General features: G+C 34.4%; 1 protein-coding gene across 10 annotated transcripts in view; it reads right to left on the bottom strand.

Moving 5' to 3' along the window:
• LRRC7 (leucine rich repeat containing 7) overlaps positions 1-19,251 on the bottom strand; it is a 576,443-nt gene that overhangs the window by 554,663 nt on the left and 2,529 nt on the right. The window lies entirely within an intron of this gene.

The following is a 19,251-nucleotide window of genomic DNA, read 5'->3' as shown; positions in this document are numbered from 1 at the left end:
AATAAGGGGCCCATCACTAGGATTAAAAGTTCAGGGTGGGTATGGCAGAAACATCCAAATATTAATAGTTTTAATAGCATCCCTTATTCAAGTTTGTGCTTCTCTTCCCAAAATACAACCCTGGAAGTCTACAAACCTCTAAGAACATCTCAGATTTACAACTGGTCTGAGCAACAAAGTGTCCATTTAGAGACTAAGGGAGATCTCTACAGACATGGGCCAGAGGACTCACTCCCGATTGGATTCTTCATACCCTAGTGAGACATGAACGCGTCTGAGCTAAATGTTTCTGATGTGAGCATGAAGTGCTGAAAGGGTGGAAGGATTTGAAAGGATGGAGAGTTCAGATAAGAACATAAAATATAGATACCTGAGTGATTAGTAGTCCTGGCGGATGTATGGAAATTTTAAGGACAGTTTCAGTGAGGTCAGTTGATCCAGTGGTTGGACACCTCAGCAGAGGTCAGAGACAGCAGAGGAAGAGGATGGCACAGGGAATAAGTACCCCTCCCACAGCATGTCTCTCTCTCTCACACACACACAGACATACACACACACACACACACACACACACACACACACACACCCTTTTTATGAAGTGGTAACACAAAAAGTTCTCAGAAACCTTAGATATTGATATGAACAAATTGAACTAAAAATGTATATTACATGTATATTACATCACATGCACGCACACACACACACACACACACACAGACCCCAGCAGGAGCAGCAGCACCAACTGCATAGGGAAGAAGGAAAGAAGAACATACTGTCTCAGACATGAAGCAACTTGATAAGTTTGTCAAGGAAACAGAAATTTAACAAGTACAGAAATTAGGCCTTGTGAAATACCTTGATATCAGTTATAGATTTTTTAAAGTTATATTTTGTCACATCAGAATTTGTGACAGTGACTATAAATTTAAACCTACTAAACTATAAATTAAAAACCTCTAGACTTTAATAGTTTAGAAAATATTTCCATTCATTTATCTCATTTGATTCTTATGACCAAATGGTGAGATAGATATTAATAATTTTTCTTCATACAGATGAAAGAAACAAGGCTTACAAAAATTATACAGCCTGTTTCAAATTTCCTCACTATTACTTGGCATGGTTAGAATCCATATTTAGGTTTTACAATGTCAAAGCTCATACTTTATCCACTATATTGCATTTGTTTTATTTTATATTTATCTATTCAATTTACAAAACTACATGCTTAATATATTATTTCATATAATTTAGAATATAGGCCTGCTCACATTATACCTGATAAAGTATGATGTGTCTATAGGTTAGTCATTAATTTCACATCCGGTTTATTCTTTTTTTGCTATTCATTTATTCTTCAAATAAATATTTACTGAATAGATAATGTATGTTAAGAGCTAGGTATGCAAAAAAAATAAGATGCCATTTCTGATAAAATAATGGTCATCTTACTGAAAAAGAGACACATCAACAATTAAAATATAACATGGTCAGTCTTACAGTAGAAATGTATGTAAATCACTTTCAAAACACAGAGGAAAAAAACCACTAACTTTCCCTGGGATGGAAGGAGGCAGAAGGTATAGAAAGCCTTCATGGAGAAAATGACATTTGGAACTACAACCTAAGGAATGAATAGAAGGAATTTTTCAGTATTTCTGGCAAATAATAAGGCTTGGGCAAGACAGGGTATATTTTTAGAGCTCCTGATAGCTCAGTGTGGCCAGAATATCAAATGCACATAGGAAGGCGTATTAGTCCATTCTAACACTGCTATAAAGATACCTGAGACTGGGTAATTTATAAAGAAAAGGGTTTAATTGACTCACAGTTCCACATGGCTGGGAGGCCTCAGGAAACTTACAATCATGGAGACAGGTGAAGGGGAAGCAAGGCACGTCTTACATGGCAGCAGGAGAGAGAGATAATAATAGGGAAACTTCCAAACACTTTTAAAACCATCAGCTTTTCCAAGAACTATCACAAGAACTATCATGGCTCTCCCTCACTATCACAAGAACAGCGTGGGGGAAACCACCCCCACGATCCAATTACCTTCCATCAGATCCCTCCCTCAACACGTGGAGATTACAATTTGAGACGAGATGTGGTCGGGGACACAGAGCCAAACCTTATCAGAGGGTGAGAGCAGAACAACTGTGTGAATATGTTAGCCACATCAAAGAGCTGGGGCACAAGGAGTCAGTGATGGTTTAATCAGGAGAAGTGTCCTATATAGGCCTGTATTTCACAAAATCTCAAGATGGGAGGACCCCACAGAGGTGAGATTGAAGGAAGAAAAGTCCAAAGGAAGTGAGGGATCAGTGAGGTCCACTCAGGGCCCACTGGAATCAGGCACAGGAGACATTAAAGAGTCCTGAACTGGGGAACTGTTGTGGGTACAATGAGAGAAGAGGAAAATGAAAACTATTTAGAAATTGGAGATCATAAAATTAGAAGAAAAAGCATATGCTCATAAGGGAAGAAAGAAGTAGAATATTTTAAGTTTGGACGAGTAAGTAATATGAAGACAAAGAGAAGGGATTTAAGAAGGAAGCCATTTCCTATCAATCAGAAAAACACTCTGTTATATTATACCACATTTTACTACTTGCATACTTACAAATATTCCAAGGGCACAACAGATATCTAGATATGCAAACATGTACAACATATTTCTTCAGGTAAGTATACTGAATGCCAGAAAAAACCTCTACAAATGTCATTATTTAGATATAAATGTGAAACAGCAAGAACATTTTGGGAGTTACTAGAGTCACTTGAATTCTATATTGTTCCTCAGAATTTGGAAAATAGAAAATCCAAAGTTTAACAATAAATGGAATTTCTTAGAATCTCAGCTTTTGATGCTAAATAATCAACAAAGGGTAGTATTTTAAAGAATTAAGGCGCAAATATTACAGCCTTAAATAACACTCAAAATGCCTAGAATAAACTTTGGTAAAATGCCTTTTTTACATCAACAGTTCAGTTTTCAAAATCGACACTGATGTCTACTTAGCTGAAAGATTTATTTCATTCTTCAATTATGATAATAATAAATAACAGTTATCAAGAGTTATTGGAATAATTTTAAGTAAATGGTATGCAGTACCTCACTGAATTCTCCCCCTAGGATCCCAGAAAAACAGAGAGGCCCTCAGCTGCTGGCGAGTCCCTGCTGCATCCTGTCCCCCGCCACATTGAAAATCTCCCCAACTCACAGTTTTCATGCCAGACACCCTGAAGACTGGAAGAGGCTTAGGGAGCCCCATTTTGCCATGTACCATCAATAAAGTCATCTGTCCCTGCCCCACCCCCTGCCAAAATGAGAATTTTTTTAAGTCGAGGGGAAACTATTGGGGATCTTCTAAAAGGAAAATTAATTCTACAAAGAAGGCATTTACAAAGATTAGTCTGACAGATGGTGACAGAAACTAAAGTCAGAGAGACCAATTACAATAATATTTAAGTTCTTACACATAGGGAGGAAGGACAAGGAAAGAAGTCTTTTAAGTAGGTCAGTATTTTAAATTGACAAAAATTTAAATTAATTTTATTTCAGTATTTTGACTTATCCTCTAACATCTGGAGGTAGTAAAGCTGGCTGAGTATCAGACTAGCTCTTGGTACTTTCACTATTTAACAACAGTAGATTTAATTCTACAGTAAATCTCAATTCTTTACAGATTTACAGAAATTTATAGTCTCTTCATTTTAAGAATCATTTTTGTAAGCCAGATTTTTAGTAGCTGATTTCGTCTATGACATAAAAGAAGCAAAAGCAGTCTCTTGTGCAATGTTTAAGATAAACAATGGAACAGTTTGCTAATTAAAAGTCTTACAAGGATATATTTCTTGGTAATAGTTTATGTAGTTCTTTCTGAACTCACTGGTGGCTGGCTGTGTCATTCTGACAGGGTCCGTGGCCTTCATTTAAAAGGATGCAAGTGTTTTATCACATGTTGTACTTCCAAGAAATGTTTACTGTGATAGCTCACAACTTATTCTTGACATCTGCAGACTCTTTCAAAGTATCTCTTTTTGTGTTTATGTTGCAAATTAGTATTGGTATCATAGATACTTATACATATGATGGGAATTATTTTCATAATGACACAATTTGTAAATATATTACACTATGTGCAAGTTATATACTATTTATCAACTTTTTAGAAGCTTTGCATTTCATCTAGCCTGATCTATGCAAATGGTAAAGGCATCTTTGGAAAGATTAGAACATTCTACAACACAGAATTTTTCTGATGTAATAAAACTTTCCTGGATTCCTCTATCTCTTCAACAAAAGAGAAAGGTACTTTTTTAGTCTATAAATTGTATATGCTTCCCTTTTGCTCTTTGAATTGGCACAAAGATCTTTAATGATTACATATTTTCATTCTTTTGTTAAAAAATCATATTTGCTCACAGAGTAAATATGGTGAGGATTACATAAAGAAAAGTATATATATTATGCCTAGATGAGTTCCTCAAATAATAGTAGACCCCCAATAAATATTAACTCATTTCTTCTCCTTTTATTCCATTTGAATACAAATTCATTTTGAAGTAGTTTTGTAAATGTTTGAGATAAAGCATTTCAAAATATCAGGAAGATATAACTGTGTATCAGTCTAGCAGTTTACAATCAATGAACATGGATGGAACATTTTGTATAACATTTTGCTATATGTACAGTGCCAAAAGAGAAGATGATAGTAGAGGCTTCCTCTAGGAAGTGATCACTGAGTTGAAATTGGAAGATAAAATAGGAGTTAACCAGGTAAAAAGAGAAGTTAATGAGAACAACACAGGCAAAGGGCCTGAGGTGGTAGGAAACAAGGCCTTTTCTAGTCTGAAAGAACACTCACATTTGTGGACACTGAGGAAGTGAAGCTGGAGTGTAGATAATAGCTAGACTTACAGGAATCCATATGTTTTCCTATGCCTCATAAGAAAACATATTAATTTTTGTCTTTATCTCAAAAGAAATTGCAAAGCAATAAATTGTTTTAACTGGGGAAGGGGTAAGATGATTCAATTTGTATATCTAAAGTATTATTTCTAAAGAATTATTACGGTAATAGTGTGTTAGATTGCTTTTCCTAATTAAAATTACTTAAATCTTCACAATATTTATGTGAGATGGGTATTATGTTCACTTTTAGGATAAGTTATGATGTAGAGAGTTAAAATAACTTTTCTGAGGTCACCTAGCTAAAAAGTAACAGAAAACAAATTTAAATCCATATCTTTGGTATTACTGAAATTCAACTATGCATGCTACTAAACCACAGCTGTTGGCAAAACACAATTTTGAGAGACATTTGATAAAATAAAATTTTGAAGGCCAGGGCAGCAGATGGCAAGGGAGTAACGGAGGTTAGGCAACAAAGAGTAGTAAAACTTCCAAGTCTTCTAGAATAGAAGACCCCCAAAATAACCTCAAATATTTTTGTCTAATGGGATAACAGAGAAATAAATTTTAAGGAAATAATAATTCTTTCCACCTTTGCCTCCGAAACTATTTTTTGCTGATCAGCCTGGAGTTCACTTTCACAAAACTATAGCCGATGTCAACTGGATATTTAGGATGAGAGAAGTAAGCGATTCCAAGCATTGACAAGTACAAAACCAGCCATCCTAATGAGCCATATTCATCAAAATGAGTAAGTCTTTTCATCTGCTGCAGATTACCCTAGAGTTGTGTTTTTCTCTGCCGTTTTGCTTATTTAGCTGGGCACAGAAGATATTCATTAAGAGGCAGAACTGGCAGTCCCAAATACCTTTCTGTCTTGGAGAGGCCTTGCATACATACTGATAATTGGTGTGATGAAATGAACCCCTCAGAAAGTCTTTGTGTGGATAATATCACCCTTTGTCAATCAAAGAAAAAAATTGAGAGACAGTGCAATGCAGCCCTATTTGTACCCATAAAACAATTCAAATGACTTTGCTCAACCCCAAGTTTGTTGACAAATCTGTAGCTGAAAATAACGAATAATGCCTATATTTTTATATCATTTCCCCAATTGGGGGTAAGTTGTTTTTCTGTTAAAAGAGGAAGTGAGAAATTATAAAATAATTATACATTGGCATAATAATTCTTGAACATAAAACACAGTCATTTTAAACACAGCAGTCTTACTTGTCTCTGTTTTATGTACTGGAGTTCTTTGTAATATTTTACTGGATAAAAGCAGTCCCCAATTATAAAAATGTTTGAAAACCACTGACCTAGTGGTGACTGTGTTACCCTTGAAAGTAGGAGTCCAACTAGTTTCCCAAGAACACCTAAGGAAGTAGCAACATAAATAATCTAATCTATTTACTTCTGAAGAATTTAATTAATTAGATTATATTTCATATTTTAGTGACTCCATTTATTAACAAAACAAAAAATTTATTTGTAAAAGTATAGTTAATTTAATAAATAATAGTTATAATCCAAAGTTTTAGATACAGTAGATCTGAGCAAAATTAAAATATATAAGGTTTTGAATGTGAAAGGGAATTTAAGGCTTTATGAATTGATAGTTATCTCAAAAATTCTTAAGTATGTCCATTCCTAAAATATAAAATGCTCCATAAATCCTCCAGATATTATAAAAAAATAAAATTTTATTTTATAACTAAACTTCAGTGCTTGAAAGAAACTGTTTAACCAAACTAAAACTGATTTGTTTAGATATTAGATATTTAGATTAATATCTAAATTTTAATATGAATGTTATTTTTCCCCAAATGTCTTATAACTTAGGAAAATAGGGCAAAAGTAATTTACTTGAGAAATTTGTAAAATACATTTCAAGCTAATCAAAGCAGAAAAAAATCAAAACATATTCATAAGTACAACTGCATTAAACAGACTTGCATGCTGGCCAGGATACAAGAGCCAAGGAAGAGACCCAGGGAACTCAACAGTTGGTGGATATCCATTACTGCCATTCCTTTGGTGCCAGTCCACTCAGAGGCAGTTATGTTAGGAAGGAAAAAACTGTCTTTCAAAGTATAAATGCTAAACTACTACCAAAGAAATAGATAAAGATTTGGAATGACTTGGAGTTCCTGATGGCATCACTGAGCCACTTATACCAGATGGATGCTTAACCATTTGTTCCCTTGCCATGCCAGGCTTGGTTATGTGACTTGTTTTGGCCAAAGGACTGCAAATGGACCTAAAATATGCTATGTGTGAGCAGAAGCTTTCATTGAACTTCAGCTGGCCAGTTTGGCCTCTTGCTCCTGTCCTCTACCAGGAAAACAGCACATCTGAGATGAAGGCTGCTCCCTCAGCTTGGATCCTGGAGTGAGAAGATTGGGTAAAGAGAGCTGAGTGGAGCTGCTGCTGTTCCACAGGTCTGTAGGGGAGAAATGAATGTTTGTGGTGTAAGCCACTGAGATATTTTGAGATTATATTTACCACTGCAAAAGCTAACTGGAAGAAAGGGTAAAATAAGTATCTTAGTTAAGCTACTAATCATTAATACTTCTTTTATTTTCAGCTAAATACATTCCTAGATTATGTATCCATGAGCAAAGGATTCTCATTCTACTTATTTGTACACCCTCTGGGCAACAATTTACAGCATGTCTTAAATGACAGAACTCAGCAGTGAAAAAAAATGTGAAGATGAAGAGCTCCAGGAAAAGATACCACGTATGGGACAAATTGCAAATGGGTGTAACCTTGCCCAGAGAATCCCACAGCATGGATCCCTTGGTAGCAACAGTGCTGCAAGAGGCTAAGGAAGTGCTTGAGATGGGTGGCTTAAAACAAACACTATCAATGGTTTACACTCTTCTACTCATCTTAGGAATCCAAGTATAAAAGGACCAGGAGTAAATTGCCCTTCCAAACTGTAAAGCATAGTGAGTAAAGATGGAAGAAATTAGTATTTTCTTTTCATGCCAAAAAAAAATTAAAACAAAGCCAAGATAGCAATATAAGGTGAGTCACTCTAATGCATACCCAATTTTCATATATTTAAAAACTTTTTTCTTAAAAAGAGGCTTTAATTACTTTTCCCTATAGAAGTATTCAATTCATTTCCAGTAATTTTATATAGGAATAAGTGTTTACAAGTTGATGCTTCTTCAATATGTCAGCGTTATTCAGTTTCCTTCATTCTGTCAATGTTCTAGTTATACACGGATAAATTAGTTCCCTCTCCAGATTCTCCAGTCAACAAATTGTACCTATATGTATCCAGTTTCTCATGCCAGAAATCTTGGAATAATCTTTGATACCACACTTTCTTTTGTTAGCCCTCACTACTATCAATTCAGCAGTGAATCCAATACCTTCTACAAAGCTTATTTCACTTTCATCTATCTCTTTCCATTTCCACTACCAAAATTCTAGCCCAAGATAATTTATTGTCCAGCTCACTGTAAACATCTCCTAATTCATGAATCCCTATTTCCACTCTCACCTTCATCTAAGTAGAAGCTATGTAAACATAGCAGCCCAAGTAATCATTTAAAAATGTCAATCAATTCACACCACTTTTGTGTTCATAAATGCTTAATGACTTTGCACAGAATGTAGGATAAACAACTTAAATTCTTAACCTGGTCAGTAAGTCCTTGGATGTCTGGCTCATGTCTGCCTCATAACGTGCCAGTCTCCCTGTGCTCCCCATATCCAGTCACATTGACCTCCTGCCAATCACATTGCCCTCCAGTGTACCATCCTCTTCTGATTTAAAGTTTTTGCATTTGCCATTACTCCTATCTTCTTTCTTTGTCTGGCTAACTTCTATCATCTTAGAGGTTTTATTTAAATAGCAGTTCATCAAAGATGCTACTTCTTCTCAGAACTTCAAAATATTCACTCTAAGTACCTTGGTCTTTTTCTTCTTAGCTTTTATCATAATTTGTAATTGTATATCCCTAGAATTATTATTTATTTAAGGTCTGTCTATACCATTAGACTGTAAACTCCCAGAGACCAGGTTTGTACTCAACCGTGTCTAGCACAAGGCCTGGCACACAGTAAATATTTAGAATGAATGAATGCAGGCAGGCAAGAACTTAGTAAAATTTATTAAACTGAAAAAGTTGCAGATTCCAGTAGATATGGTAGATTTTTATTATAAAAGTTCTCCTAACAATATACAGAATGAAAAAATATATTGCACCCTAGTGTCTTTGATTTGTTTACAAATCGGAGGAGCTATTCCTGAGTTGTGCAAGAACAGTAGCTTAGTTCTTAGACTTCTGGTGTATTAAAATATACTTGTGCACAAAATTACCAACTGAGAAAGTCAAAGTGCTTAAGACTTATAAAATTTTCTCAAATAGGTTGATGTTTTTATCTTTTAAATAATATCTTTATGTATTAAATAATAGTTTTGTTAAAAATTATATTTTTAACCAGTCATAAAATGTAATATATTTTAATATTACGATCCAAATTAGTAGCATACTTATTTCTGTAGTTGTGACACTATAAACTGGAAATTAGGATTCTACTTTTAATAGAATAGGATTTCACTTACCCTTTGTCTTTGAAACTCAATAAATTTGAGAAGGAGGGAAGAGTAGGTTATTCTCTATTAACAAACAACTCCCCAAATCCCAACATATCAATGCCTTTATTTCTTTCTCACACCACATGTCAAATACCTATGTGCCAGGAGGACTGCATTTAGAGTGATTGTTCATGGACCAGGACGATGGAGGCTCTATCATGACATGTGCTTCCACAATTACTATATTAGGGAAAGAGCAAGCAGTGCACTGGGTCATAAACACTTCTATTCAGGCCAGGTGCAGTGGCTCACACCTGTAAGCCCAACACTTTGGGAGGCGAAGGCAGGAGGACTGCTTCAGCCCAGGAGTTTGAGACCAGCATGGGCAACATGGGAAGATGCTGGCTCTACCAAAAAAAAAAAAAAAAAAAGCTTCTATTCAAAAGAGACACTCCTTACCTTAGCAAGTCATATGGCTATGGCTGGGAAGCACAATCCTATGATGTTCTCAGAAAGGAGGAGAAGAAGGAATTGAGGGAAACTGTGCTAATGGCTACAAGAGTCATTTAGAGGCATTCAGAAGAATAAGTGGAACGATTCATTCATTGAAACAGTCATTCACACAACATGCATCTTTTTCTGCACCAGGCTGTGAGCTAGTCTGCTTGGGATAAAATATCCAGTGAGTCTCCACATATGTACTGGTTTGGGAAACAGTCATTTAAATAATTATTTAAACAATGATGCTGGGAATGAATGAATGGTCCATATATTGAAGTATCCTAAAAATACCAATATAAAGTGACCTTTGTGTGATCACACAAATCACACAGTTTAAAGGTTTAACCTTTTTTATTTTTTAAAAAAAGATATGTGGAGAATGTAACCAAGGGATTCTGAAGTTTCATTAAACTATATTCATATTCAAATTAACGGTGATCTTTACTCAGTGTGAGGGTAAATTTCTAACTTGACTCACATCCAGAAAAAGAGAATACAAAACCCAAGTAAACATTTTAGGGTTTTTTTGTTACCTCCCTTTTTAATATAAATACTAGAAGCTATCACATTACATTTTATTATGTTGATTCATTAAATTACAACTCTTGACACCCAATAAAGTTTCTATCTTCTGAACTAAAATATGCTATTGTTTCCATTGTTAAGCAATAATATTAAAACCATTAAGTGGCATTTAAAACAAGGAAGTATTCATCCATATTACCAGGACTAAAATACAACTTTTTTTTCCATGCATTTCTTTTTATTTTATTTTATTTTATTATTATTATACTTTAAGTTTTAGGGTACATGTGCACAATGTGCAGGTTACATATGTATACATGTGCCATGCTGGTGTGCTGCACCCATTAACTCGTCATTTAGCATTAGGTATATCTCCTAATGCTATCCCTCCCCCCTCCCCCCACCCCACAACAGTCCCCAGAGTGTGATGTTCCCCTTCCTGTGTCCATGTGTTCTCATTGTTCAATTCACACCTATGACTGAGAATATGTGGTGTTTGGTTTTTTGTTCTTGTGATAGTTTACTGAGAATGATGATTTCCAATTTCATCCATGTCCCTACAAAGGACATGAACTCATTATTTTTTATGGCCGCATAGTATTCCATGGTGTATATGTGCCACATTTTCTTAATCCAGTCTATCATTGTTGGACATTTGGGTTGGTTCCAAGTCTTTGCTATTGTGAATAGTGCCGCAATAAACATACGTGTGCATGTGTCTTTATAGCAGCATGATTTATAGTCCTTTGGGTATATACCCAGTAATGGGATGGCTGGGTCAAATGGTATTTCTAGTTCTAGATCCCTGAGGAATCGCCACACTGACTTCCACAAGGGTTGAACTAGTTTACAGTCCCACCAACAGTGTAAAAGTGTTCCTATTTCTCCACATCCTCTCCAGCACCTGTTGATTCCTGACTTTTTAATGATTGCCATTCTAACTGGTGTGAGATGGTATCTCATTGTGGTTTTGATTTGCATTTCTCTGATGGCCAGTGATGGTGAGCATTTTTTCACGTGTTTTTTGGCTGCATAAAGGTCTTCTTTTGAGAAGTGTCTGTTCATGTCCTTCGCCCCCTTTTTGATGGGGTTGTTTGCTTTTTTCTTGTGAATTTGTTTGAGTTCATTGTAGATTCTGGATATTAGCCCTTTGTCAGATGAGTAGGTTGTGAAAATTTTCTCCCATTTTGTAGGGTAGGAAGAATCAATATCATGAAAATGGCCATAATGCCCAAGGTAATTTATAGATTCAATGCTATCCCCATCAAGCTACCAATGACTTTCTTCAAAGAATTGGAAAAAACTACTTTAAAGTTCATATGGAACCAAAAAAGAGCCCGCATCGCCAAGGCAATCCTAAGCCAAAAGAAGAAAGCTGGAGGCATCACGCTACCTGACTTCAAACTATACTACAAGGCTACAGTAACCAAAACAGCATGGCATTGGTACCAAAACAGAGATATAGATCAATGGAACAGAACAGAGCCCTCAGAAATAACACTGCATATCTACAACTATCTGATCTTTGACAAACCTGAGAAAAACAAGCAATGGGGAAAGGATTCCCTATTTAATAAATGGTGCTGGGAAAACTGGCTAGCCATATGTAGAAAGCTGAAACTGGATCCCTTCCTTACACCTTATACAAAAATTAATTCCAGATGGATTAAAGACTTAAACGTTAGACCTACAACCATAAAAACCCTAGAAGAAAACCTAGGCAATACCATTCAGGACATAGGCATGGGCAAGGACTTGCTGTCTAAAACACCAAAAGCAATGGCAACAAAAGCCAAAATTGACAAATGGGATCTAATTAAACTAAAGAGCTTCTGCACAGCAAAAGAAACTACCATCAGATTTTCATGCATTTCTATCTATTTTTCACACATGATTATACAAAGAAATTCTACTAGGGAAGAGGGGGAAGGAGATTAACAACATATTCCTTTATATAAATTATGGGTAAGTTTACCTATGATTTTTATATGGAACTTAAACATGCATAACAGTTCTAGTAGTTTCTTCTTGTACCAAAGTACAAAAGCACATCATCTTTGTATCCAGTCCCCTGTGTTCACGTCCCACATTGATGTCTACTGTGTTTGAGTTTCAGTGGCTTGCTTTTTGTCTGCAGGAAGCAAATCTTAGATATGACGAGACGAGGCAGAAAAAGCGAGTAAACAAACAAAAAACGTCCATCCTCCTTATATTACGTGTGTAAATAACCGCTCATTAAATAAAATTAGATAGTGCAAAAGATAAAACAGGTATTATTTTGGAATAATTCAAACCCTGGACTGGGAGAGGTTGACATCTCGTATTACTGTTAACACCTAGACTTAGGACATTCAGATTTTGTCATGTAAAATGGTGTGTGGGATTACATTCACAGATGCAGAAATATGTTCTGTTCCATCACACCCACGAGCCTCTGAACAGTACACTGAAAGCTGGCATGAATAAGAACCATTTTACAAATGAAAAGCATAGCTAATGTGCTGATATGTGATGCATTAATTTAGTCATCATGGTGTTTCTTCAATTTAAAACATTATTTCCTTAATAAGGAGTTATGTCTTTTAAAAAGGGTTATTAGATGGGACTGTGTATGTATGTAGATATCTTGTTTAATCAGATATTCTTTGTAAATATTTCTACATTTCATTGTTTACAACCCAAATACATATTTTAAGAGCTTTAATCTCATAATTTCAAAAATGCTTTATAATCATTGCTAATATGGTTTGCTGGTGGGTTATAAAACATCTTGCCTTAAATTTACCTGCAATCAAAGCTTCTAGATATGGTGGACTAAGAATTTTAGCATTAGAAAAAATATAAATGAAACGTTTATTTCAAATTTGTCTTGTAACAGAAGAACTAAGTCATAACAGATGTTTAACCAGATATTTAGAAGAAGGAAGGATCTTACTATTTAAAGGACCTTCCAAAGTAACTTTTTTTTTTTTCAGAGTGTCACTCTGTCACCCAGCCTGGAGTACAGTAGTGTGATCTCAACTCACTGCAACCTCTGCCTCCTAAGCTAAAGCAATCTTCCCACCTCAGCCTCCTGAGTAGGTGGGACTACAGGTGAGCACCACCACTCTTGGCTACTTAAAAAAAAAAAAGTAGATACAACATCTCACTATATTGCCCAAGTTGGTCTCACACTCCTGAACTCAAACAATCACCCCACCTCAACCTCCCAAAGTGCTGGATTACAGTCACCCAGCCCAAAATGTAACTTAATAATGCAAAAAACTTCTCAGAAATGAGTCTGTTTTACAAATTCCAACTGTATTGTATTTTATTTTCCTGATTAGAATGGTTTCCTAATTCATATTTGAAGTAATAGTTTATAGAAAGCCCTAACAGCACTTAAAGTCCTCCTTGTTTTTTGGTGAGAAAACTTATTGGTTGACCCCTAATAAAATTAGCAAATTTAGAAGATAATTTATTTATTTAAAATGAATTGAACATTTCTTCATCATCCAACATTCATTTAGCTGGCATTATCCTAAAAAGATCAATGATTTAAAAAGAACATTTTAATTTTAATGTTTTAAGAAAGGATATAGTATCCAAATTTAGAGTGCTTCAATATTAGTGAAAATTAATTCCACATTTCTTAAATAAAGATATTTTAAAAATAGAATACTTAACAGATGTTAAATTTATAGCATAGGAGTCTGCCTAGACAGTCAAGTCAAAGTGGAGGATAAGGCAATTGTCCAAAATGCTTAAGCCAAATAAAAACTCAGGGCATAATTAAGACCAAAAATTAAACTCAGATTGAAATTCAGGCCAAAAATTCAATGAAAAAGAAATGCTTTTTGGATAGTGTCATCAAATTGGCTAGCTATATTAATTGGATCTATTGAATTAAGATTCCTTTCTCTCTTCTACTTTGCTCGGGTGTAAGAGACCCCAGTAGTTCCAAGGGTGTGGTTTTACTGGCAGACAGTGGGAGCTACAAGACCTGATTTTATTGCTATTTCTCCCATTAACAGTTGGATGACCCTCAGCAAGAAAGTATACTTAGTGGGGCCTCAGTTTCTTCTTTTTATAAAATGAGACCCTCTAAATTCCTTTCCAGCTCTGAAGTGTTATAAACTCCTGAAATAGTAAGATTACAGCTATGTTTGTGTGTGCATATGTGTTGTGAAATAGAACAATTACAGCTGTATGTGTATGTGTGTGGTGTGCCCAGTGTTCAACAATACGATATTAGCCTAAGGACTTCGCTAATATTTAACACTCACTCTAAGTTTAACTAGGTATTTGATTTAATTACAATAGCTTTTATAATTGTCTTAATAAATTAATCACACTTGATATAGGGAAGAAATTTTTTTCATGTCTTGAATTACACTGATCAGAAGAACACCGGATAGTAACTATTTAATTTTATGAGTGCTCAAAATATGTGGTCCAAGGTATATTTCCATCCAACATGATTCTGTAAGGTGCCTACTGGTGGTAAGAACTGCAATGATGAATACTTTTGATGCAGAACACTTAAGTAGTTAGTATTTATAAGTCTATTATTTGCAATTTTTAATTGTTTTAGTTACGCCATCTGTGACATATTAATTCTTTAAGTTCAGCTGGCATATTTTAGCTTTGTGTCCATTACCTACCTTTTTAGTGCAACAAATGTCTTCATAATACTTAGGCACTATCTTAATAAAGTTCATTTCTTACCTTTCCTTCCAGTATTGAATAAATTGACAATACAGCCAAGCATCTATAAAGTATTTTGCCACTACACCAGAGTATTCTTATCTTTTTCAATATAATAACATAAAATCCTGTAGTTTCTCAGTGACTTGTCTAGCAGCTCTTTTCCAATTGTTTGTCCCATATTTTCCTCTGTTAGCTCTGTTTTTCTGCTTTTCACAATACCATTTCTTTTTACCTATGAAAATTTCATGATGATAATGATAGTATTTATGCTATTGTTTTGTTTTAAGGTCAGCTACCTCTTTTCTATAATTGAAATCAATAGCTTCTCACTTGTTCTCATACTACTTTACCTCTTGAGTACTACAACATTTAAATATCTCCCTCATCTGACCCACCCCGCCACACACACAAGTATCCTAGAGTTCCACTGTTTTTAACTTAAGCCATTTGTTATGATACTACCTTGGGCATACCTATCCCCTTGTGTTAAGTATGCTTTCAACCTTACTGAACTTCGTGTACAGCAAAAATATCCTGGCACAACTGAAGAAACTGCATCTTTAAGAAGCCTATAAATGAATTATTTAAACAATGTAAACAACTGCTCCATTGTTAAAATATTTAAACACATCATGTCAATGTTAATAGACATTTCAATGCTTCATCCCTGACAACTACTATTTCTTTCACGTGTATTGAAGTAAAATAATATTTTGTATAGAGATTTTAAGTAGTTTATTAAGCAATGAACAATAAAATGAGAATGAGTGTACACAGGAAATCCTTTGGGTTATTAATGTATTTAATATTTTTCCCATGTCTTTGAATGACAAATGATAATGTTTCTATTATGAATAATAATTTAATTAGCATATATGATGCCTCCCCAGGGGCTTAATTATCAAGTGCATCATCATAGTTTCAAAATAGACATGACAGCTATTGACTCAAAATTTGCTTTATTGAAAACTTCCATAATGTACTTTTATATGACAGATTCTACTAGATTATTAAATTTCTGTCGTGAATGAATTATTCCAAGATAATAAGCAACAGTATTTTCTATACCTACATTAAATAATAGTCCAAAAATAATAGGGTGTATTATCACCAAATATACAGCTTTCAAAAGCTGGTTCAAAATCTTAATCTTTCTTTGTACACCAGGAAAAACTTCCATAATCTACAGATTTAAGTTATTTACCGAACTTCAATTTATGCCATGAAGAAGAGAGCACAGAATGGGGAAAAATGAACAGGGGCCAAATCTGGGCTTAAATCTTGGCCCATCACTTTCCACGTGGCATGGATTTGCCACTTGCTGTCTCTGAGTTTCAGTTTTCTAATCTTCAAAACAGTGAGAATCATGCTTCCTGTAGGATTATTTTGAAGTAAAGCACATGACTCATGGTAGGAGTTTAGCAAGCAGTAACTTATTATAATTATGATTACAGTTCAGGTACTATGGTAGGGGAGGCAGTATGACAAGTGATGTTCATGGATTTCTGAGCATATTCACTTTTTTTGAGATAGGAAATAGACATATTTGATTATTTAAATGGCATGCTTTTAATTACACCATTATATAATATACATAATTATACTATGCTATCACTAAACAGAACCACACACACACATACCCCACACACACATTACTACAGAAAAACTAATCTATACAAAAAAGTTTATACTTCACTCTTCTAAAATTTCCAAACCACATTTCATGTACCCCTTTGTCTTCTTTGGTATGTCCTGCAGTTATAAAATAGTAATTATTGCCACCTCTATTTTATCTTGTTAAAAGAGATGTATTACCTAAGATTGCATATTACTTCTAGACATACCTAAGTTTTTCTTACTCCTCTTTCACTATCTCAGGGTAATACTCTACAGTTGTTTCTATAAAAATGTAATTATTTCTAATGATTCAAACCTGAGTCACATAAATAACATGGTTAAAAGCCACATAAAGAAAAAATACTATTGATTTGTGGCAACCATCATTCAAACATTGTTGATTTATAGTGCCACTTTTCATTCTGAGTTTTTATTGACAATTCACAAATAAGTTTTTTAAAACATATGTGAAGCCTGTCTATGAATCTCCTTCTTTTGATTTAGGTATTTGATTTAATTACAATAGCTTATATAATTTGCTTTTTTGTTCCATCAGAATATAATATAATTTGCTTCATTATAGGTTTAAATTGCTATCTTTATATTAAAATTTTATTTCTTAATATTGAAACATTGAAAACTCTCTATTGAAGACTGATGTTGACTGCTAAATTAAAGAAATTCAGAGTGAAAACTTCAACATTCTCCAAAGAGCCTAGAGTCATCTCCAATGATATCTTTCCGTGGCAATAAAAATTAGTTAATGGTAACTCGGCTTGTCATAAACTAAAAGTCTGTTATATGTCACAGATTTGAATTAACATTCCCCTAAAGTCATCTTGCAAATTTACATGGCTCCAAAAAAGAATGTGGATGATACTCTGCAAAGTAGTCACTGTTATTAGAGACAACAAAATACACCAAATAATGTCTTTCAGTGGTAGTGTGGCTATTATAACTACTGTGTTCAACAGCATATATGTTTGAAATAATTTTTTCAAAAAACTATGAAATAATTTGTGTGAAGAAAGAAAATGTAATAAGAATCCATAAATAATTCAGATGATAATTCATCAATAATTGGTTACTCTTCGTGTAGTCGGTTAATCTGAGTAAGCAATGAAGTTATAATCTCGTGGAATGTGTGATTCCTTCTTATATTGGGGCCACAGTCATTCAGCAAATAAAATTTTAGTATCTCTAAGTGTAATTTTGATACATCAATTAAAACCTAACATCAATATTTTATCTGTTCTAAAAAGTGAATGTTTTAAAGTTGTGATTAACAAGACCAAGTTTTTGTATCAAATATTTAATCATGTACTATATGCTGAAATAAGAGAGATCTACAAGTACCACTGGAATGAACATCATATAGATAATATAGTTTATTACTTTCATAAGCAATAACATTCATATTAATTTATATCTTCGTGATTTTTTGAAATCCAAAGAAAACAAAAATGCAGATGCACAAAAACACTTTAAGCTTATGTTCTGTATTTTATAAGGGAATTAGAAAAATTAAAAGCTTAAAAAAGAAAGTGGAATAAGAATTTAATTGGGAAAATGTTAATGACAGCCTAAAGCTGCACTAAAATTCTGAATAAAACATGGCTACTGCAACTGGACCAGGTTTCTTTATGAAGTTGTTTCTAATTCTAAGCTGCATATGTGCAGACACAAGTGATGTAGAATTTATGTGTTGGCCATGGTAAGTACACATTTTTTCTTGGATAGTCAGTTTTTTCTTAAAAATGTATAAAGAACTCTCACCTCATAATAAGTCATGAAAATTGACTGTTTTTCTTATCATTACATATTAGTATGATGCAATGCAGCATAACACATAAATAAACCACCTTTTAAAAACTTTAGCCTACTAAGATGGATTATAAAACATTAAGTGAAAATGAAATAAGAAATCTCCAAGTCAGGTAACTCTAAATGTTGGGTCATAAACAAGTTATATCTCCACTAAATTAATAAATATTCTGACCTCAGGACATTTTCCACAGGCCTGAGACACCTCAGAAGTCCAAACTCAATCACTAAACACACCCCCAATATACTTTAGCCATATGACTCTTAAGGAAACATAAAATCATTCCTACATCCCTATTTGCTCATTTTTCCCCCTGTGCAATCAATGATTTCTAAAAAGTAAAGACTTCATTGCTTTACTGTCTTTTGTAAAAACAAACAAACAAAAAACAACAAACAAACAAAAAACACCTCGTGGTAGTTCCCTTAGAGTCCTTCCTGGAAGCCAATTCAAGGAAGCCTGGACGGAGGCGTGACACTTGGACTGGGAAGGTGGTGTAATCTGTTGCGAATCACAGCAGGTTCTGAAGTGCTGGAGAACCCACGTGTGCAGGGGCTGGAGAACTTTTCCACCGTCTCCCAGAGGAAATGCCTCATTTTAAAATAGGGGGCTGGCTGG

The sequence above is a fragment of the Homo sapiens genome, chromosome 1, assembly GCF_000001405.40.
Source record: "Homo sapiens chromosome 1, GRCh38.p14 Primary Assembly".
NCBI classification, from domain to species: domain Eukaryota; kingdom Metazoa; phylum Chordata; class Mammalia; order Primates; family Hominidae; genus Homo; species Homo sapiens.
This window is presented reverse-complemented; position numbering and strand designations above follow the sequence as displayed.